The 16,554-nt window shown below is 46.4% G+C and overlaps 1 protein-coding gene, 1 long non-coding RNA gene and 1 pseudogene across 7 annotated transcripts in view, besides 3 other annotated features; 2 read left to right on the plus strand and 1 right to left on the minus strand.

Moving 5' to 3' along the window:
* CCDC88C (coiled-coil domain containing 88C) overlaps positions 1-601 on the minus strand; it is a 146,498-nt gene extending 145,897 nt beyond the window's left edge. For 3 of the 4 annotated variants that reach the window (NR_189158.1, NR_189159.1, NM_001080414.4), the window contains exon 1: positions 412-601. Coding sequence is in view for 1 of the 4 variants with exons in the window: in NM_001080414.4 (NP_001073883.2) it covers positions 412-471 (60 nt within the window). In the remaining 3 variants the exon portion in view is untranslated. Of the gene's footprint in view, positions 1-159; positions 384-411 lie in introns of those variants that run through there. The other variant, XM_011536796.3, reaches the window with a different exon arrangement.
* Positions 97-1,016: a silencer, noted in NCBI's record as "silent region_6026". NCBI's record gives its function as "represses an Ori minimal core promoter by ATAC-STARR-seq in GM12878 lymphoblastoid cells {active_cell/tissue: GM12878}" and the evidence as "EXISTENCE:reporter gene assay evidence [ECO:0000049][PMID:35858748]".
* CCDC88C-DT (CCDC88C divergent transcript) lies at positions 1,027-7,640 on the plus strand. 2 transcript variants are annotated; one of them, NR_184261.1, is made up of 3 exons: positions 1,027-1,121; positions 3,730-3,904; positions 7,355-7,640. It is a non-coding gene; the product is annotated as a CCDC88C divergent transcript (long non-coding RNA). The 2 variants fall into 2 exon arrangements; NR_184262.1 differs by lacking the exon at positions 7,355-7,640 and having other exon boundaries at positions 3,730-4,025.
* Positions 1,082-1,726: an enhancer, noted in NCBI's record as "H3K27ac-H3K4me1 hESC enhancer chr14:91884645-91885289 (GRCh37/hg19 assembly coordinates)". NCBI's record gives its function as "activates a minimal SCP1, AML or CMV promoter by ChIP-STARR-seq in primed H9 embryonic stem cells {active_cell/tissue: H9 hESC(primed)}" and the evidence as "EXISTENCE:reporter gene assay evidence [ECO:0000049][PMID:30033119]".
* LOC112268126 (COX assembly mitochondrial protein homolog) lies at positions 1,234-2,611 on the plus strand (annotated as a pseudogene). The gene has a single exon (XR_007064303.1). The product of XR_007064303.1 is annotated as a COX assembly mitochondrial protein homolog (transcript).
* Positions 1,967-2,016: an enhancer, noted in NCBI's record as "active region_8921". NCBI's record gives its function as "activates an Ori minimal core promoter by ATAC-STARR-seq in GM12878 lymphoblastoid cells {active_cell/tissue: GM12878}" and the evidence as "EXISTENCE:reporter gene assay evidence [ECO:0000049][PMID:35858748]".
* Positions 7,641-16,554: the final 8,914 nt, after the last annotated feature.

Genomic DNA, 16,554 nt, shown 5'->3' on the forward strand with positions numbered 1-16,554 from the left:
CCGGCTGGTCTCAGGGATTCAGAAAAACTACATGAGATATTTGGTTGGGAAGAATGGGGTCCTTTTCGGGAGTGGCTAAACCCCAGGGACAGGAGTGACCACTGGGACCCGGTCCGCCCCGAGGCAGCCAGCCTAGAGCCCCAGCGGGAACAGGTGTACCCGCCCGGCTCCTGGCCCGGCCGAAAGCGCGGCGGGGTCCCGCGCCGGACGCACAACGGGGGCGCCGGCTCCAGAGTTACAAAGCTCCGGACTCCAGGACGCGGCCCCAACCCCGGCCGGGAGCCACTTGCTGCGTCCCTCGCGCCCCGGAGCCACCCGGGGCCCCGGCCGTGTCGGGTCTGCGGCGTCCCGTCGCCGGGCTAGAGAGAAGCCGGTGCACCAACAAAGGGGCGGGGAGCCAGGCGCACTCACCCAGGTCACCAGCGGGCTCTGCAGGAAGAGCTCCAGGAGCTCCGAGACTGTCACGTCCATGCTGAGGCTGCGCCCGCCGGCTCCGCGCCCCCCGCCCCGCGTCCCCGTTCCCCCGCGCCGCGGCACAAAACGGCTCCGCAGCGAGCAGCGGGCGCGGGGCTGCGGCGGCTCGCGCCCGGGAGACAAAGGCGGGGCGCGCGAGCCCACGTTCCGCGGCTTCGGCGGCCCCGCGCCCCGCCCGGGTCTGGGGGAAGGGGAGGGCCAGCCGCTCGGGGAGGAACAATACGGGCGGCCCCGCCCCTCGGCGGCCCTGGGCGACCGGCGCGCCGCCTCGCGGTGCCAGCCCGGGAGCCCGGGAGCCCGGGCGCGGGACCAGGCTACGCGGGGCGCTGGGAGGGGACTGGTGGCCCGAGGCGGGTGGGTCGCGGGGCCCGGCTCCCCGCCCGTGGGACCGCGCGCCCTCGCCGAGCGCAGCCTCCCCGCGTGTGGGGCCCCAGCACGTGGCGCATCCCTGCGCGCGTGCGCGTGCAGCCGGGGCCCGAGCGCCACGTGCGAGCTGGGGTGCGCGGGCACTGGTGCGTGCCGGGAGCGGGGACGCCCTGCCCTCCGAGGTTGCTCTGCCCTCCGAGGTCGCCCGCAGCTGCCGCCCGCTCTGGGCTTGGGGACCTCGGCCCTGCGCCTTTCCGCACTCCTGGCAGGTGCAGCCCCAGGTACAGTCAAGAGGCCCCGCAAACCCCCGCTCCTCACGCTTGTGCGCGGCGCGATAAACGCGCCCCGACCCTGGGGCTGGGCTGGAGGGCAAAGAAGAAACTTTATGTTGAGTTTAGGCCTTAGGGGCGCGGCCCCTCGCGCCCTACCGTGCCCCACCGTGCCATGTTCCGGGCTGCCTGCCTTCTAAAAGTTCCTGCAGGAAGCAGGTGATGTGGCCTCCCCGACCCGGGCCCGCCCCCACCACTTTGCCGGAGGCGAGCTAAATTCCAGCCGGGGTTCCTAGCAGCAGCTTAGTGGCAGGCGACAGGAAAAAGGGCAAAGGCCCCAACTGGCTGGAAGGCAAGCCCGGGGGCAGGACCTCCTTGCGGGACGGCACGAGGCAGGAGCCGGCTCCAGGCTGGTCTCGGCCTGGTAATAATTTCACACCACCAGCCGGTCATTGTTCAAAGCACTGTAGACCATTTTACTAATTTAACCCTAACGATCGCCGCATTTCGCAGCTGGGCCAACTGGTACAGGGTTGACCCGAAGGGCCCTGCGTGGCGCTTGGCAAGTATACAGCAGGCACTAAATGGCTGCCGACAGGCTCGGTGGTAATTTTGAAAGTTGGCTCTGTGCAGCGTTGGGGCTGCGGCATCTGCTGGTGGCGAGTGGTATTACAGCCCAGCGCTGGCGGACCCCGTTGGGCTGGGGAGGGTTGTGAGATTATGGCCTGAGAGCCAAGGGGGTCGGTTAGGGGTCCCTAGAGACTGTGGAAGGCGGGGTAGCATAAAACACAATGGGGGACTGCGGAGGAACTAAAATTTCGAGACTACATGGTTTTGTTGTGCACCAGAAGTTCATTAGAGAAGTTCCTTAATTGCTTCTCCGCCCGCCGCGATGGCACTCGACCCCGCGGATTAATTTAACAACTCTGATGGTTGCTCTGTGAAATTTAAAGAACAGTGGTTTAAGCAAAGACCACAAGAAAGAAGAATTGAGATCAAAGAGGAGTGTGTGCCATCGCTGTGGAGGAGTTTCAGTTGTGAATCATGAAATGTCCTGTAAACCATTTCAAGGAGTTTGATTTTTATACCAAAAACAATGGGAAGACACTACAGGTTTTTGGAGCAGCAGCTCAGACGTGTCGAAAAAGATGTTTTGATCCCTAAAATAATGAGAGAAAAGGCCAGAGAGAGGTCTTCTGACAAGTTCAAGATTTTACCAAATGTTGCAAGAACTCTGGAATCCTTATGGTAGTAAAATGCTGGAAAGAAAATTCTGCATTGAAAGAATGTCTTAACAGCTCACTATAATGACCCAGCCTTTTATGAATAATGCAAAGTGGAAAACCTGAAGGAAAAGGAAGAATTCAGAAAAACTGGAATTTCTACAAAGAAAAGTCTACAGAAGCTGCCCACAAGTGTGTAGACAAATATTCAGATGACATTCAGGATCTCTAATACTCATGGAAGTCGTTTATAGAATAAACCTTAAATAATGGACTCAAGAATGTGTGTTTGCTAATTATGTGTGTATCCTAATTATGGAAATATTAATTTTATCTGAAATAAAAATCTTTTTTTCTTTTCTCTTTTTTTTTTTTTTTTTTTTTTTTGAGACAACAGAGTCTCACTCTGTTGCCCAGGCTGGAGTGCAGTGGCGTGCTCTCTGCTCACTGCAACTCCGCCTCCCGGGTTCGCGCCATTCTCCTGCCTCAGCCTCCAGAGTAGTTGGGACTGCAGGCGCCCACCACCACGCCCGGCTAATTTTTTGTATTTTTTACTAGAGACGGGGTTTCACCGTGTTAGCCAGGATGGTCTCTATCTCCTGACCTCGTGATCCGCCTGCCTCGGCCTCCCAAAGTGCTGGGATTACAGGCGTGAGCCACCGCGCCCGGCTAAAAATCTTTTATTTAAAAAAGTTCCTTAATTGCTCATAATGTAAGTTAGTTCAAAAATAGGTATGATGTGTACACACACCGCTCTTCGCTCGGAAGCCTCTCTTCTGAAAAGTAAGGGATGCAGATGCGGCCAAAGTTGTTTTTCCAATTTTTTTGGAAAGACAAGGATGAGGAATCTTTAAAGTTATTTATTGAGGCCGGGTGCAGTGCCTCACACCTGTAATCCCAGCACTTTGGGAGGCCTAAGTAGGTGGATCACTTCAGCCCAAGAGTTCAAGACCAGCCTGGCCAAAAAAAATAGAAAAATTAGCTGGGTGTGGTGGTGCACACCTGTGATCCCAGCTACTCTGGAGGCTGAGAATCACTCGAACCCGGGAGGGGAAGGTTGCAGTGAGCTGCTATTGCACCATTGCACTCCAGCCTGGGTGACAGAGCAAGACTCTGTCTCAAAAAAAAAAATTTATTGAGTAAGCTTATTCTTTCACACTAAGAAATACAGTGGACAAATGCCTTCTGACAGTTGTGAGACTTTTCCCATCCTGGTGAGGGAATTTTCCCCTGGGGACATTGACAAGGCCCTGGGCCACAGCCATGTCAGGAATGTTTGCTTTGGGGTCAGTTAGCTGCTGTGTTGGTTCATAATCATTGATGTATCTGCTACCATGCCTTGGCTTGACTACGCCACCAGGATTAAAAGGATCTAACTCAGCTCCCTTGTTCCCTAGGAGGCAATGGGGCAGGCAAACTGGATGGTGCCCCAGGTGTAGCAAGCTTGGAAGGCTTCAAAGGACGGGACAAGTTTGGCCTGGACAAGTTTCCTCCTAGAAGTCACTTAATCTGCAAAATCAAGATAAGACCATTTTCCCCATGTGACTTGACAAGACAATATTAAAGCTCAAGGTGATGCATGTAAAAAGATTGTGGAAGCCATAAAGCTTTATAGAGATACATAATCACTGTCTCTTCCTCATCTCCTGCCCCATTCTGCTACCCTTGCTTTAATAAAAATTGTTTCCCCGAAGTCTCCGTCGGGCTGGGGCATAAGCTTCAAGGAGCAAATGCACAGACCCTCCACTGACCACTACACAGAGAGTCCCAATGCCCCTCCTCCATCCTTCCAGAACACCCTTGGCTTTCACTCCATCCATCTGAGCCTTAACTCTTTATTTTTAAGTTTTTCCTTGTTAATCTCTGGATATAAATGTATCTATTGCTTAATACATTGCTTCCTGGGTAGAAGCAGTATTTTGTGTTCTTCTGATAAAGGAATTTTCTACCCTCTCAGAAAATACTGACTCAGCAGTGTTAGCTAATGGCATTTCTACTTCACCTGATAGGAGCAGGAGCTTAAATTGTTACTACAACTTGGGGTGGGGAGAGGGAATGGCTATTTTTTTTTTTTTTCGAGACTGAGTCTTGCTCTGTCACCCAGGCTGGAGTGCAGTGGCGCAATCTTGGCTCACTGCAACCTCTGTCTCCCAGGGGTCAAGCTATCTCAGCTCACTACCATGCCGAGCTAATTTTTGTATTTTTAGTAGAGACAAGGTTTCGCCATGTTGGCCAGGCGGTTCTCAAACTCCTGACCTCAGGTGATCTGCCCGCCTCGGCCTCACAAAGTGCTGAGATTACAGGTGTGAGCCACTATGGCTGGCCACAAAATACTATATTCTATGATAGTTTTATATTCTGTCACAGATCTGACATTTTGGAACGTTCTTTTATTTACTTTATTTATTTATTTATTTATTTATTTTTGAGACAGAGTCTCGCTCTGTTGCCCAGGCTAGAAGTGTAATGGCTGAGCAATCATAGCTCACTGCAGCCTCAGTCTCCTGGGCTCACGTGATCCTCCTGCCTCAGGCTTCTTAGTAGCTGGGACTACAGGTGAGCCCCACCATGCCCGGATAATTTTTTTTTTAAATTTTTTAAATCTTAGTAGAGACAAGGTTGCTATGTTGCCCAGGCTGGTCTCAAACTCCTGAGCTGAAGTGATCCTCCTGCCTCGGCCTCCCAAAATGCTGGGATTACAGGCATGAGCCGCCATGCTGGGCTGGAACATTCTTAAAATATTGGAAATTAGGCTGGGCGAGGTGGCTCACGCCTATAATCCCAGCACTTTGAGAGGTCAAGGTGGGCAGACCACAAGTCAGGAGTTCGAGACCAGCCTGACCAACATGATGAAACCTCATTTCTACTAAAAATACAAAAATTAGCCAGGCGTGGTGGCGTGCACCTGTAATCCCATCTACTCAGGAGGCTGAGGCAGGAGAATCGCTTGAACCCTGGGGGCGGAGGTTGTAGTGAGCTGAGATTGCGCCACTGCACTCCAGCCTGGGTGACAGAGCAAGACTCCATCTAAAAAAAAAAAAGAAAAAAAAATTGGGAATTAATATTATTGTCAAATTCAGGAAAAACATAAAGGATTTGGGGTCCTTTGGGATGCAAGGCATAGGAGAGTATCTGTGTTTCAACCTGCTGCTTGTTAATGTGAGACTGATATTTTGGGGAAAATTTCAACCTATTTCAAAGATTTTTTTTTTCAGAGAATAGGAAACAATACACTAAAACATGGAAATGCTGCTGAGCGCGGTGGGCTCATGCCTGTAATCCCAGCACTTTGGGAGACCAAGGCAGGCAGATCACGAGGCCAGGAGTTCAAGACCATCCTGGCTAACACGTTGAAACTCCGTTTCTACTAAAAATACAAAAATAATTAGCCAAGCGTGGTGGCACGCACCGGTAGTCCCAGCTACTCGGGAGGCTGAGGCAGGAGAATCGTTTGAACCCAGGAGGCAGAGGTTGCAGTGAGCTGAGATCGTGCCATTGCACTCCAGCCTGGGCGACAGAGCGAGACTTCATCTCAAAAAAAAAAAAAAAACATGGAAATGCTGAAGTATACACATAATATTGGAAACCAGGATGCTCAAGTAAACATATTTTCAACTGATTTATTTTTCCTTTAACTTTTTCTTAAAGATATAGCTTAAATCATATGAAATTGCTGATATTTGTCAAATTTGGGCCTACAAAAATGGCAATTTCATATGTTGAAACTAAAGACTAACAATATTTAACAATTAAAAAATAAACATTATAGAATTTCTGCTAAGTGCTAAACATTATGATAAGCACTTTAAACAAGACATGAACCTGCTCTCAAGAAACAGTAAGAGTGCCAGATGTGGTGTCTCATGCTTGTAATCCCAGTACTTTGGGAGGCCAAGGCAGGAGATTGCTTGAGCCCAGTTCAAAACCAGACTGAGCAAATATAGTGAGACCCCATCTCTACAAAAATCTAAAAATTAGCTGGGTGTGGTGGTGTGCACCTGTAGTCCCAGATACTCGGGAGGCTGAGGTGGGAGGATCACTTGAGCCCAAGAGGTCAAGGCTGCAGTGAGCCATGATCATGCCATTGCACTCCAGCCTGGGCAACACAGCAAGACACTGCCTCAAAAAAAAAAAAAAAGGAGTAAGAAGTAATCACAGATAAATTTAAACCTTTCGCATTTTTAAAAGTTATGTGCAGACAAGTAAAAATAATAAAAGTTCAATCATTTATTATGATGCTAGATGCATCTGAAACTGGATAATACGATATAGTTGTTTTTTTTTTCTTAAGACAGAGTCTCACTCTAGCGTGATCTCAGCTTGCTGCAACCTCGGCCTCCAGGTTCAAGCAATTCTGCCTCAGCCTTCCGAGTAGCTGGGACTACAGGCATGCACCACCACACCCAGCTAATTTTTGTATTTTTAGTAGAGACAGGGTTTCACCATGTTGGCCAGGCTGGTCTCGAACTCCTGACTTCAATTGACACACCTGCCTTGGCCTCCCAAAGTGCCGGGATTACAGGTGTGAGCCACCACGCCCGGCCATACAATATAGTTTTATGTCATAAGACAACCTTACATGAAACCTTACTAGAAAATGCATAAATTTGGGGTCACCAGATATATGGGTTTGAGTCCTGGCTGTGCCATCTACTAGCAGTGTGACTTGAAACAAATTCTTAATGTCTCTTAGCAAAGGTTTTCTTGTCTACACAGTGTGGCTCCTGCTACCTCCCTCCCAGGAATGCTGTCAGAATGAGGAACAATCTATGTAAAGCACCTGGTACAGCCTAAGTGTTCAATGAAAAGTGGCTTTTTTGATCGTTGAAATTATTAAATTGTTGCATTTATAGCACTTGATATTTTTCAAAGCATTTTCACTTATACTGTCATTTGTCATAAATCTCAATGGAAAAGAGAGTCTAATTAATGTGATCTGCCTAAATTGGCTGAGCAAATTTAGATTTGGGACTAAAAGCCAGGCATCCTGAATGGTTCCATGCTTTCTCTTCCTGATCACAGGCGCTGAAGACATAAGCTGTATTGTAAAGCTATGTGTTAGCTCAGAACTACGTCTTCAGTGACAACATAATGAAGACTAGACGTGACCCTTGACTTTAAGAGCTTGATCGTGCATAGGAGGGACAGCATCTTGGAAAGCATGTATAAGGTACAGAAATAGTACAATGGAGAGTGTGTTTACACCTTAACTTCTTTTGGGGAATTGTGAAAGGCTTTGCTGAGGATGTGATATTTGGCCAGAGTACTTAAGGCTGAATAAAAGCTTGTCCTGCAGATAGGTGGGAAATGTTGCACGTGGTGACTTTCTGGGGCCGCTGTCATGAGGGTGATAAAAAAATTTTACTAAGATAGTTGTCAGTGAGGAAAGGCAGATTTATTAGAGAAACTAGGAAAACATGTTGCAAGGAAGCAATGGGCAGGTCAGCAAGAGAAGAGCTGACTGCAAAGAGACGAAGGCTTGCTGGGGATTTTACGGTATGCCGCTTGTACTGTGTGCTGAAGAGAGCTTTGTGCAGTGCTGGTAATGCCAAGGTTGCAGTGAGCTAACTTGCATTTTTCTATCAGCCGAAGGTCTGCTGATAAGTTGGGTGCAGGAAGATTATGAGTTATTCGTGAAGGAGGGCTGTGTGTCCTGGACCATAAACAAAGGCTGACTTACAGCTTATCTGCTTTCTCCTTTTGCTTTCCCCTGGTCCTGCCAAGCCTAGCTCCTTTTCCCTTACTAGGACTCACAGTAAGGACATTCGAGGCAGAGGGCACACCATGTGGAAAGGCATGTGGGAACCACAACATTGCCGAGACACAGAGGGAGGTGATGTTACTGGGATATGGGGGAGGTGGGCAGGGCCCAGCTTGTGAGAGGGCCAGTGGGCTCAGTCCAGGAGTTTGGACTTTATCTTAAGGAAAGGTGGGAGCCAGCAAAAGGGCTAAAGCTGGAATGGGCCTTGACTAGGTTTGCTTTTCTTTTTCTTTTCTTTTTTTTTTTTTTTGAGACAGACTCAGTCACCCAGGCTGGAGTGCAGTGATGCAATCTTGGCTCACTGCAACCTCCATGATATGGTTTGGCTTTGTGTCCCCGCCCAAATTATCACCTTGAATTGTAATAATCCCCACATGTCAAGGGTGGGGCCAGGTGGAGATAATTGAATCATGGAGGCGGTTTCACCCATACAGTTCTCATGGTAGTGAATAAGTCTCACGAGATCTGGTGGTTTTATAAATGGGAGTTCCTGCGCACAAGCTCTCTTGCCTCCCGCCTTGTGAGATGTGACTTTGTTCCTCATTTGCCTTCTGCCACGATTGTGCGACCTCCCCAGCCGTGCGGAACTGTGAGTCCATTAAACCTCTTTCCTTTGTAAATTCCCCAGTCTCGGGTATGTGTTTATTAGCAGTGTGAGAACAGACTAATACAGTAAATTGGTACCAGGTAGTGAGGTGTTACAGTAAAGATACTCAAAAATTTGGAAGCAACTTTGGAACTGGGTAATAGGTAGAGGTTGGAAGAGTTTGGAGGTCTCAGAAGATGACAGGAAAATATGGGAAAGTTTGGAACTTCCTAGAGAGTTGGAGGGCTCAGAAGACAGGAAGATGTGGGAAAGTTTGGAACTTCCTAGAGAGTTGTTGAATGGCTTTGACCAAAATGCTGATAGTGATAAGGACAATAAGGTCCAGGCTGTGGTGGTCTCAGATGCAGATTAGGAACTTGTTGGGAACTGGAGTAAAGGTCACTCTTGTTACTTTAGCACTAAGAGACTGGCAGCATTTTGCTCCTGCCCTAGAGATCTGTGAAACTTCGAACTTGAGAGAGATGATTTAAGGTATCTGTTTGGAAGAAATTTCTAAGCAGCAAAGCATTCAAGAGGTGATTTAAGTGCCGTTAAAAGCATTCAGTCTTGGCTAGGTTTGGTGGCTCACACCTGTAATCTCAGCACTTTGGGAGGCCAAAGCTGGCGGATCAGTTGAGGTCAGGAGTTCCAGACCAGCCTGGCCAACAGAGCAAAATCCTGTCTCTATTAAAAATATAAAGATCAGCCAGGTGAAGTGGTGTGCTTGCACCTGTAATTCCAGCTACTTGGGAGGCTGAGGCACAAGAATTGCTTGAACCTGGGAGGCAGAGGTTGCAGTGAGCAGAGATTGTGCCACTCCAGCCTGGGTGAGACTCAGTCTCGGAAAAAAAAAAAAAAGTGAGACTTAAAAAAGGTGAGACTCAGTCTCAAAAAAAAAATTCAGTTTTATGTATTCACAAAGACATGGTTTGGAATTGGAACTTCTGTTTAAAAGGGAAGCAGAGCATAAAAGTTAGGAAAATTTGCAGCCCGATGATGCCACAGAAAAGAAAAACCCATTTTCTGAGGGGAAAATTCAACCCACTGCAGAAATTTGTGTAAGTAACTAGGAGCCAAATGTTAATCACTAAGGCAATGGAGAAAATGTCTCCAGAACATGTCAGAGGTCTTCATGGCAGCCCCTCCCATCACAAGCCTGGAGGCCTAGGAGGAAAACATGGTTTCCTGGGCCGGATTCAGGGCCCCGTTGCTTTGTGTAATCTGGGGACTTGGTGCCCTGTGTCCCAGCCGTGGCTGAAAGGGGCCAATGTAGAACTCAGGCCATTGCTTCAGAGGGTGAAGCCCCAAACCTTGGCAGCTTCAACCTGGTATTGGGCCTGTGGGTGCACAGGAGTCAATAATTGAGGTTTGGGAACCTCTGCCTAGATTTCAGAGGATGTATGGAAATGCCAGGATGTCCAGGTAGGGGTGTGCTGCAGAGGCGGTGCCCTCATGAAGAACCTCTGCTAGTGCAGTGTGGAAGGGAAACGTGGGGTCAGAGTCCCCACACAGAGTCCCCACTAGGGCACCACCTAGTGGAGCTGTGAGAGGAGGGCCACTGTCCTCCAGATCACAGAATGGTCGACCTACCAACAGCTTGGACTGTGGGCCTGGAAAAGCCACAGATACTCAACACCAGCCAATGAAAGCAGCCAGGAGTGGGGCTGTACCCTGCAAAACCACAGGGTGGAGCTGCCCAAGACCATAAAGACCCACCTCTTGTATCAGTGTGACCTGGATGTGAGACATGGAGTCAAAGGAGATCATTTTGGAGCTTTAAGATTTAATGACTGCCTTGCTGGAGTTTGGACTTGCATGGAGCCTTGATTTTGGCCAATTTCTCCCATTTGGAACAGGTGTATTTACCAAATGCCTGTACCCCCATTGTATCTAGGAAGTAACTAACTTGCTTTTGGTTTTACAGGCTCATAGGCAGAAGGGACTTGTCTTGTCTCAGATAAGACTTTGGACTTGGACTTTTGGGTTAATGCTAAAATGAGTTAAGACTTTGGAGGACTGTTGGGAAGGCATGATTAGTTTTGAAATATGAAGACATGAGATTTGGGAGGGGCCAGGGGCAAAATGATATGGTTTGGCTCTGTGTCCCCACCCAAATCTCACCTTGAACTGTAATAATTCCCATGTGTCAAGGGCGGGACTAGGTGGAGATAATTGAATGATGGGGATGGTTTCCCCCATACTGTTCTCACAGTAGTGAATAAATCTCATGAGATCTGATGGTTTTGTAAATGGGAGTTCCCCTGCACAAGCTCTCTTTCCTGCCACTGTATAAGATGTGACTTTGCTCCTCATTCACCTTCTTCCATGATCGTGAGGCCTCCCCAACCATATGGAACTGTAAGTCAATTAAACTTCTTTTCTGTATAAATTACCCAGTCTTGGGTATGTCTTTATTAGCAGCGTGAGAACAGACGAATATACTCTACCTCCCAGGTTCAAGTGATTCTCCTGCCTCAGCCTCCCAAGTAGCTGGGATTACAGGTGTGTGTCACCATACCTGGCTAATTTTTGCATTTTTACTGGATGGGATTGTACCATGTTGGCCAGGCTGGTCTCGAACTCCTGGCCCCAGGTGATCCACCCACCTCAGCCTCCCAAAGTGCTGGGGTTACAGGCATGAGCCACCATGCCTGGCCAAGGTTTGCATCTTAGAAAGATCTCTGTGCAACCTCAAAAACAGGATTAAAGAGGAAAAAAGGCAAGGAGATTAAATCAGGAGAGTTTTGCAATAATTCCTGTGAGGGTGATCAGGGTCCAAACTAGAGCAGGGGAGGTGGAGAGGAGGGTTGGTGATTGAATGTGGAGGGCTTGGGGGATTTGGATGGGATAGGAAGACTGAGTTGTGTCACCAACGCTGGGGAGCCTACCCAAATTTCTTTCATGGCCCCTTGCTTGGCAAAGCCTAGTCAGTGGATCCAGCCACAAGCTTGGTAAAAATGCAGTCTCAGAACCCTCCCAAGGCCTACTTGAATCAGAATCTGCACTTGAGGCTGGGCGCAGTGGCTCATGCCTGTAATCCCAGCACTTTGGGAGGCCAATGCAGGCAGATCACTTGAGGTCAGGGGTTTGAGACCAGTTTGGCCAACATGGTAAAACCCCATCTCTACAAAAAAAAAAAAAAAAAAAAAAAAAAAATTAGCCAGGCTTGGTGGCAGGCATCCCAGCTACTTGGGAGGCTGAGGCATGAGAATTGCTTGAACCTGGGAGTGAGCCAAGATTGTGCCACTGCACTCCAGCCTGAGCAACAGAGCGAGAGTCCATCTCAAAAAGAAAAAAAAAGAATCTGCATTTGAACAAGGTCCCTAGTTGATTCCTAGGTGCCTTTAAGTTGAAGCAGCAGAGCTCAAGAAAGCATTGCTTTCATTCACTCTTTCATAGCCAGCTGGCCTCCAGCAGGAGCCTCAATCTGGTAAAGATAGGTTTACTGTAAAGGTGCAGGATTAAAGGATGTATCACAATATATCCGTGTTCAATAGTATCTGGCACCAGAAGTATCTGGGTAATGGAAGAGAAACAGGTTTGAAATGTACAGGACTAGCCAAGTGACACAGAGTAGATAGCTGGCGGGAGGAAGCAAAGAGAGAGATTTCTTTGAGCCCCAGACTCTGCTGGTTCATTTCCAAATTCTAAACTCGTAGCATGTTTTCATGTGTAACAGTCAATAAGCAAGACTAATATTTATTGTTTAATACCTAAGGGTGAGCACATTTTCAACAATGGCTTACTTGTTTAAGGGTATTTTTAAAACATCAACAGGGAAATAAATGACTTTGAGACCTTGTCGCTGAAAAGTTTCCTGTAATCTTTGCTCATGTAACTGAGGCAGAACAGGACAAAGCATTTTTGGGACCTGATGCAGCCTTTGAACGGGGGTCCTAACTCTGGGGTTCTGAAAACACCTTTTTATGATTAAATGTTAAGACCAGGCCAGGCGCAGTGGCTCACACCTGTAATCCCAGCACTTTGGGAGGCCAAGGCAGGTGGATGACTTGAGGTCAGGAGTTCGAGACCAGCCTGACCAATATAGTGAATACCTGTCTCTACTAAAAATACAAAAATGAGCCAGGCATGGTGGCGCACACCTGTAATTCCAGCTACTCAGGAGGCTGAGGCAGGAGAATCACTTGAACCCAGGAGGTGGAGTTTGCAGTGAGCCAAGATCGCGCCACTGCACTGCAGCCTGGGCAACAGAGTGACACTCTGTCTCAAAAAATAAAAGACCTAAGTGAACCACCAACAATATGTGAAAGTGCTTGTTTCTCTACCCCACCACTGTACCACCAGAGGGGACTGTTAAACTTTTGAATCTTTGCAATGTGATCAATTAGAAATGGAGTCTCATTGTAGTTTTAATTTGCCTTTTCTCTTATTGCAAGTGAACTTGAACATCATGTTTCTAGTACATCTTTTAATATCTCAGCCAGGTGTGGTGGCTCACACCTGTAATCCCAGCACTTTGGGAGGCCAATGTGGGCAGATCATCTGAGGTAAGCAGTTTGAGAACAGCCTGGTCAACACGGCAAAACTGTGTCACTACTAAAAACACAAAAATTAGTGGGACGTGGTGGCAGGCACCTGTAATCCCAGTACTCAGGAGGCTGAGGCAGGAGAATTGCTTGAACTTGGGAGGTGGAGGTTGCAGTGAGCTGAGATCGTGCCACTACACTCCAGCCTGAGTGACAAATGAAACTCTGTCTCAAAAAAAAAATCTATTTGTGAACTGTCTGTTCAAATATCTTTTTTCCATTTATCTATAGGATTTTTGGACATTGTCAACATTTTAAAGAGTTCTTCATATAAATTAGGATTTTTGCCCCTTGGTGATGTATGTCACATATATTTTCTGCCAGTTTATCATTTTTCTTTTGACTTTGTTTTTGCTACAAAAATGTTATGTATTGTTATATATTTATACCTGTCAATATGGTGGATTACATTGATTGACTTTTCTTTTTTTTTTTAATTTAAGTTTTAGGGTACATGTGCACATTGTGCAGGTTAGTTACATATGTATACATGTGCCACGCTGGTGCACTGCACCCACTAACTCGTCATCTAGCATTAGGTATATCTCCCAATGCTATCCCTCCCCCCTCCCCCCACCCCACCATAGTCCCCAGAGTGTGATATTCCCCTTCCTGTGTCCATGTGATCTCATTGTTCAATTCCCACCTATGAGTGAGAATATGCGGTGTTTGGTTTTTTGTTCTTGCGATAGTTTACTGAGAATGATGATTTCCAGTTTCATCCATGTCCCTACAAAGGACATAAACTCATCATTTTTTATGGCTGCATAGTATTCCATGGTGTATATGTGCCACATTTTCTTAATCCAGTCTATCATTGTTGGACATTTGGGTTGGTTCCAAGTCTTTGCTATTGTGAATAATGCCGCAATAAACATACGTGTGCATGTGTCTTTATAGCAGCATGATTTATAGTCCTTTGGGTATATACCCAGTAATGGGATGTCTGGGTCAAATGGTATTTCTAGTTCTAGATCCCTGAGGAATCACCACACTGACTTCCACAATGGTTGAACTAGTTTACAGTCCCACCAACAGTGTAAAAGTGTTCCTATTTCTCCACGTCCTCTCCAGCACCTGTTGTTTCCTGACTTTTTAATGATTGCCGTTCTAACTGGTGTGAGATGGTATCTCATTGCGGTTTTGATTTGCATTTCTCTGATGGCCAGTGATGATTAGCATTTTTTCATGTGTTTTTTGGCTGCATAAATGTCTTCTTTTGAGAAGTGTCTGTTCATGTCCTTCGCCCACTTTTTGATGGGGTTGTTTGTTTTTTTCTTGTAAATTTGTTTGAGTTCATTGTAGATTCTGGATATTAGCCCTTTGTCAGATGAGTAGGTTGTGAAAATTTTCTCCCATTTTGTAGGTTGCCTGTTCACTCTCATGGTAGTTTCTTTTGCTGTGCAGAAGCTCTTTAGTTTAATTAGATCCCATTTGTCAATTTTGTCTTTTGTTGCCATTGCTTTTGGTGTTTTGGACATGAAGTCCTTGCCCATGCCTATGTCTTGAATGGTGATGCCTAGGTTTTCTTCTAGGGTTTTTATGGTTTTAGGTCTAACGTTTAAGTCTTTAATCCATCTTGCATTGATTTTTGTATAAGGTGTAAGGAAGGGATCCAGTTTCAGCTTTCTACATACGGCTAGCCAGTTTTCCCCGCACCATTTATTAAATACGGAATCCTTTCCCTATTGCTTCTTTTTCTCAGGTTTGTCAAAGATCAGATAGTTATAGATATGCGGCATTATTTCTGAGGGCTCTGTTCTGTTCCATTGATCTATATCTCTGTTTTGGTACCAGTACCATGCTGTTTTGGTTACTGTAGCCTTGTAGTATAGTTTGAAGTCAGGTAGTGTGATGCCTCCAGCTTTGTTCTTTTGGCTTAGGATTGCCTTGGCAATGCGGGCTCTTTTTTGGTTCCGTATGAACTTTAAAGTAGTTTTTTCCAATTCTGTGAAGAAAGTCATTGGTAGCTTGATGGGGATGGCATTGAATCTGTAAATTACCTTGGGCAGTATGGCCATTTTCACGATATTGATTCTTCCTACCCATGAGCATGGAATGTTCTTCCATTTGTTTGTATCCTCTTTTATTTCCTTGAGCAGTGGTTTGTAGTTCTCCTTGAAGAGGTCCTTCACCTCCCTTGTAAGTTGGATTCCTAGGTATTTTATTCTCTTTGAAGCAATTGTGAATGAGAGTTCACTCATGATTTGGCTCTCTGTTTGTCTGTTATTGGTGTATAAGAATGCTTGTGATTTTTGTACATTGATTTTATATCCTGAGACTTTGCTGAAGTTGCTTATCAGCTTAAGGAGATTTTGGGCTGAGACAATGGGGTTTTCTAGATATACAATCATGTCATCTGCAAACAGGGACAATTTGACTTCCTCTTTTCCTAATTGAATACCCTTTCTTTTCTTCTCCTGCCTAATTGCCCTGGCCAGAACTTCCAACACTATGTTGAATAGGAGTGGTGAGAGAGGGCATCCCTGTCTTGTGCCAGTTTTCAAAGGGAATGCTTCCAGTTTTTGCCCATTCAGTATGATATTGGCTGTGGGTTTGTCATAGATAGCTCTTATTATTTTGAAATACGTCCCATCAATACCTAATTTATTGAGAGTTTTTAGCATGAAGGGTTGTTGAATTTTGTCAAAGGCTTTTTCTGCATCTATTGAGATAATCATGTGGTTTTTGTCTTTGGCTCTGTTTATATGCTGGATTACATTTATTGATTTGCATATATTGAACCAGCCTTGCATCCCAGGGATGAAGCCCACTTGATCATGGTGGATAAGCTTTTTGATGTGCTGCTGGATTCGTTTTGCCAGTATTTTATTGAGGATTTTTGCATCAATGTTCATCAAGGATATTGGTCTAAAATTCTCTTTTTTGGTTGTGTCTCTGCCTGGCTTTGGTATCAGAATGATGCTGGCCTCATAAAATGAGTTAGGGAGGATTCCCTCTTTTTCTATTGATTGGAATAGTTTCAGAAGGAATGGTACCAGTTCCTCCTTGTACCTCTGATAGAATTCGGCTGTGAATCCATCTGGTCCTGGACTCTTTTTGGTTGGTAAACTATTGATTATTGCCACAATTTCAGCTCCTGTTATTGGTCTATTCAGAGATTCAACTTCTTCCTGGTTTAGTCTTGGGAGAGTGTATGTGTTGAGGAATTTATCCATTTCTTCTAGATTTTCTAGTTTATTTGCGTAGAGGTGTTTGTAGTATTCTCTGATGGTAGTTTGTATTTCTGTGGGATCGGTGGTGATATCCCCTTTATCATTTTTTATTGTGTCTATTTGATTCTTCTCTCTTTTTTTCTTTATTAGTC

This window comes from Homo sapiens, chromosome 14, assembly GCF_000001405.40.
Source record: "Homo sapiens chromosome 14, GRCh38.p14 Primary Assembly".
NCBI classification, from domain to species: domain Eukaryota; kingdom Metazoa; phylum Chordata; class Mammalia; order Primates; family Hominidae; genus Homo; species Homo sapiens.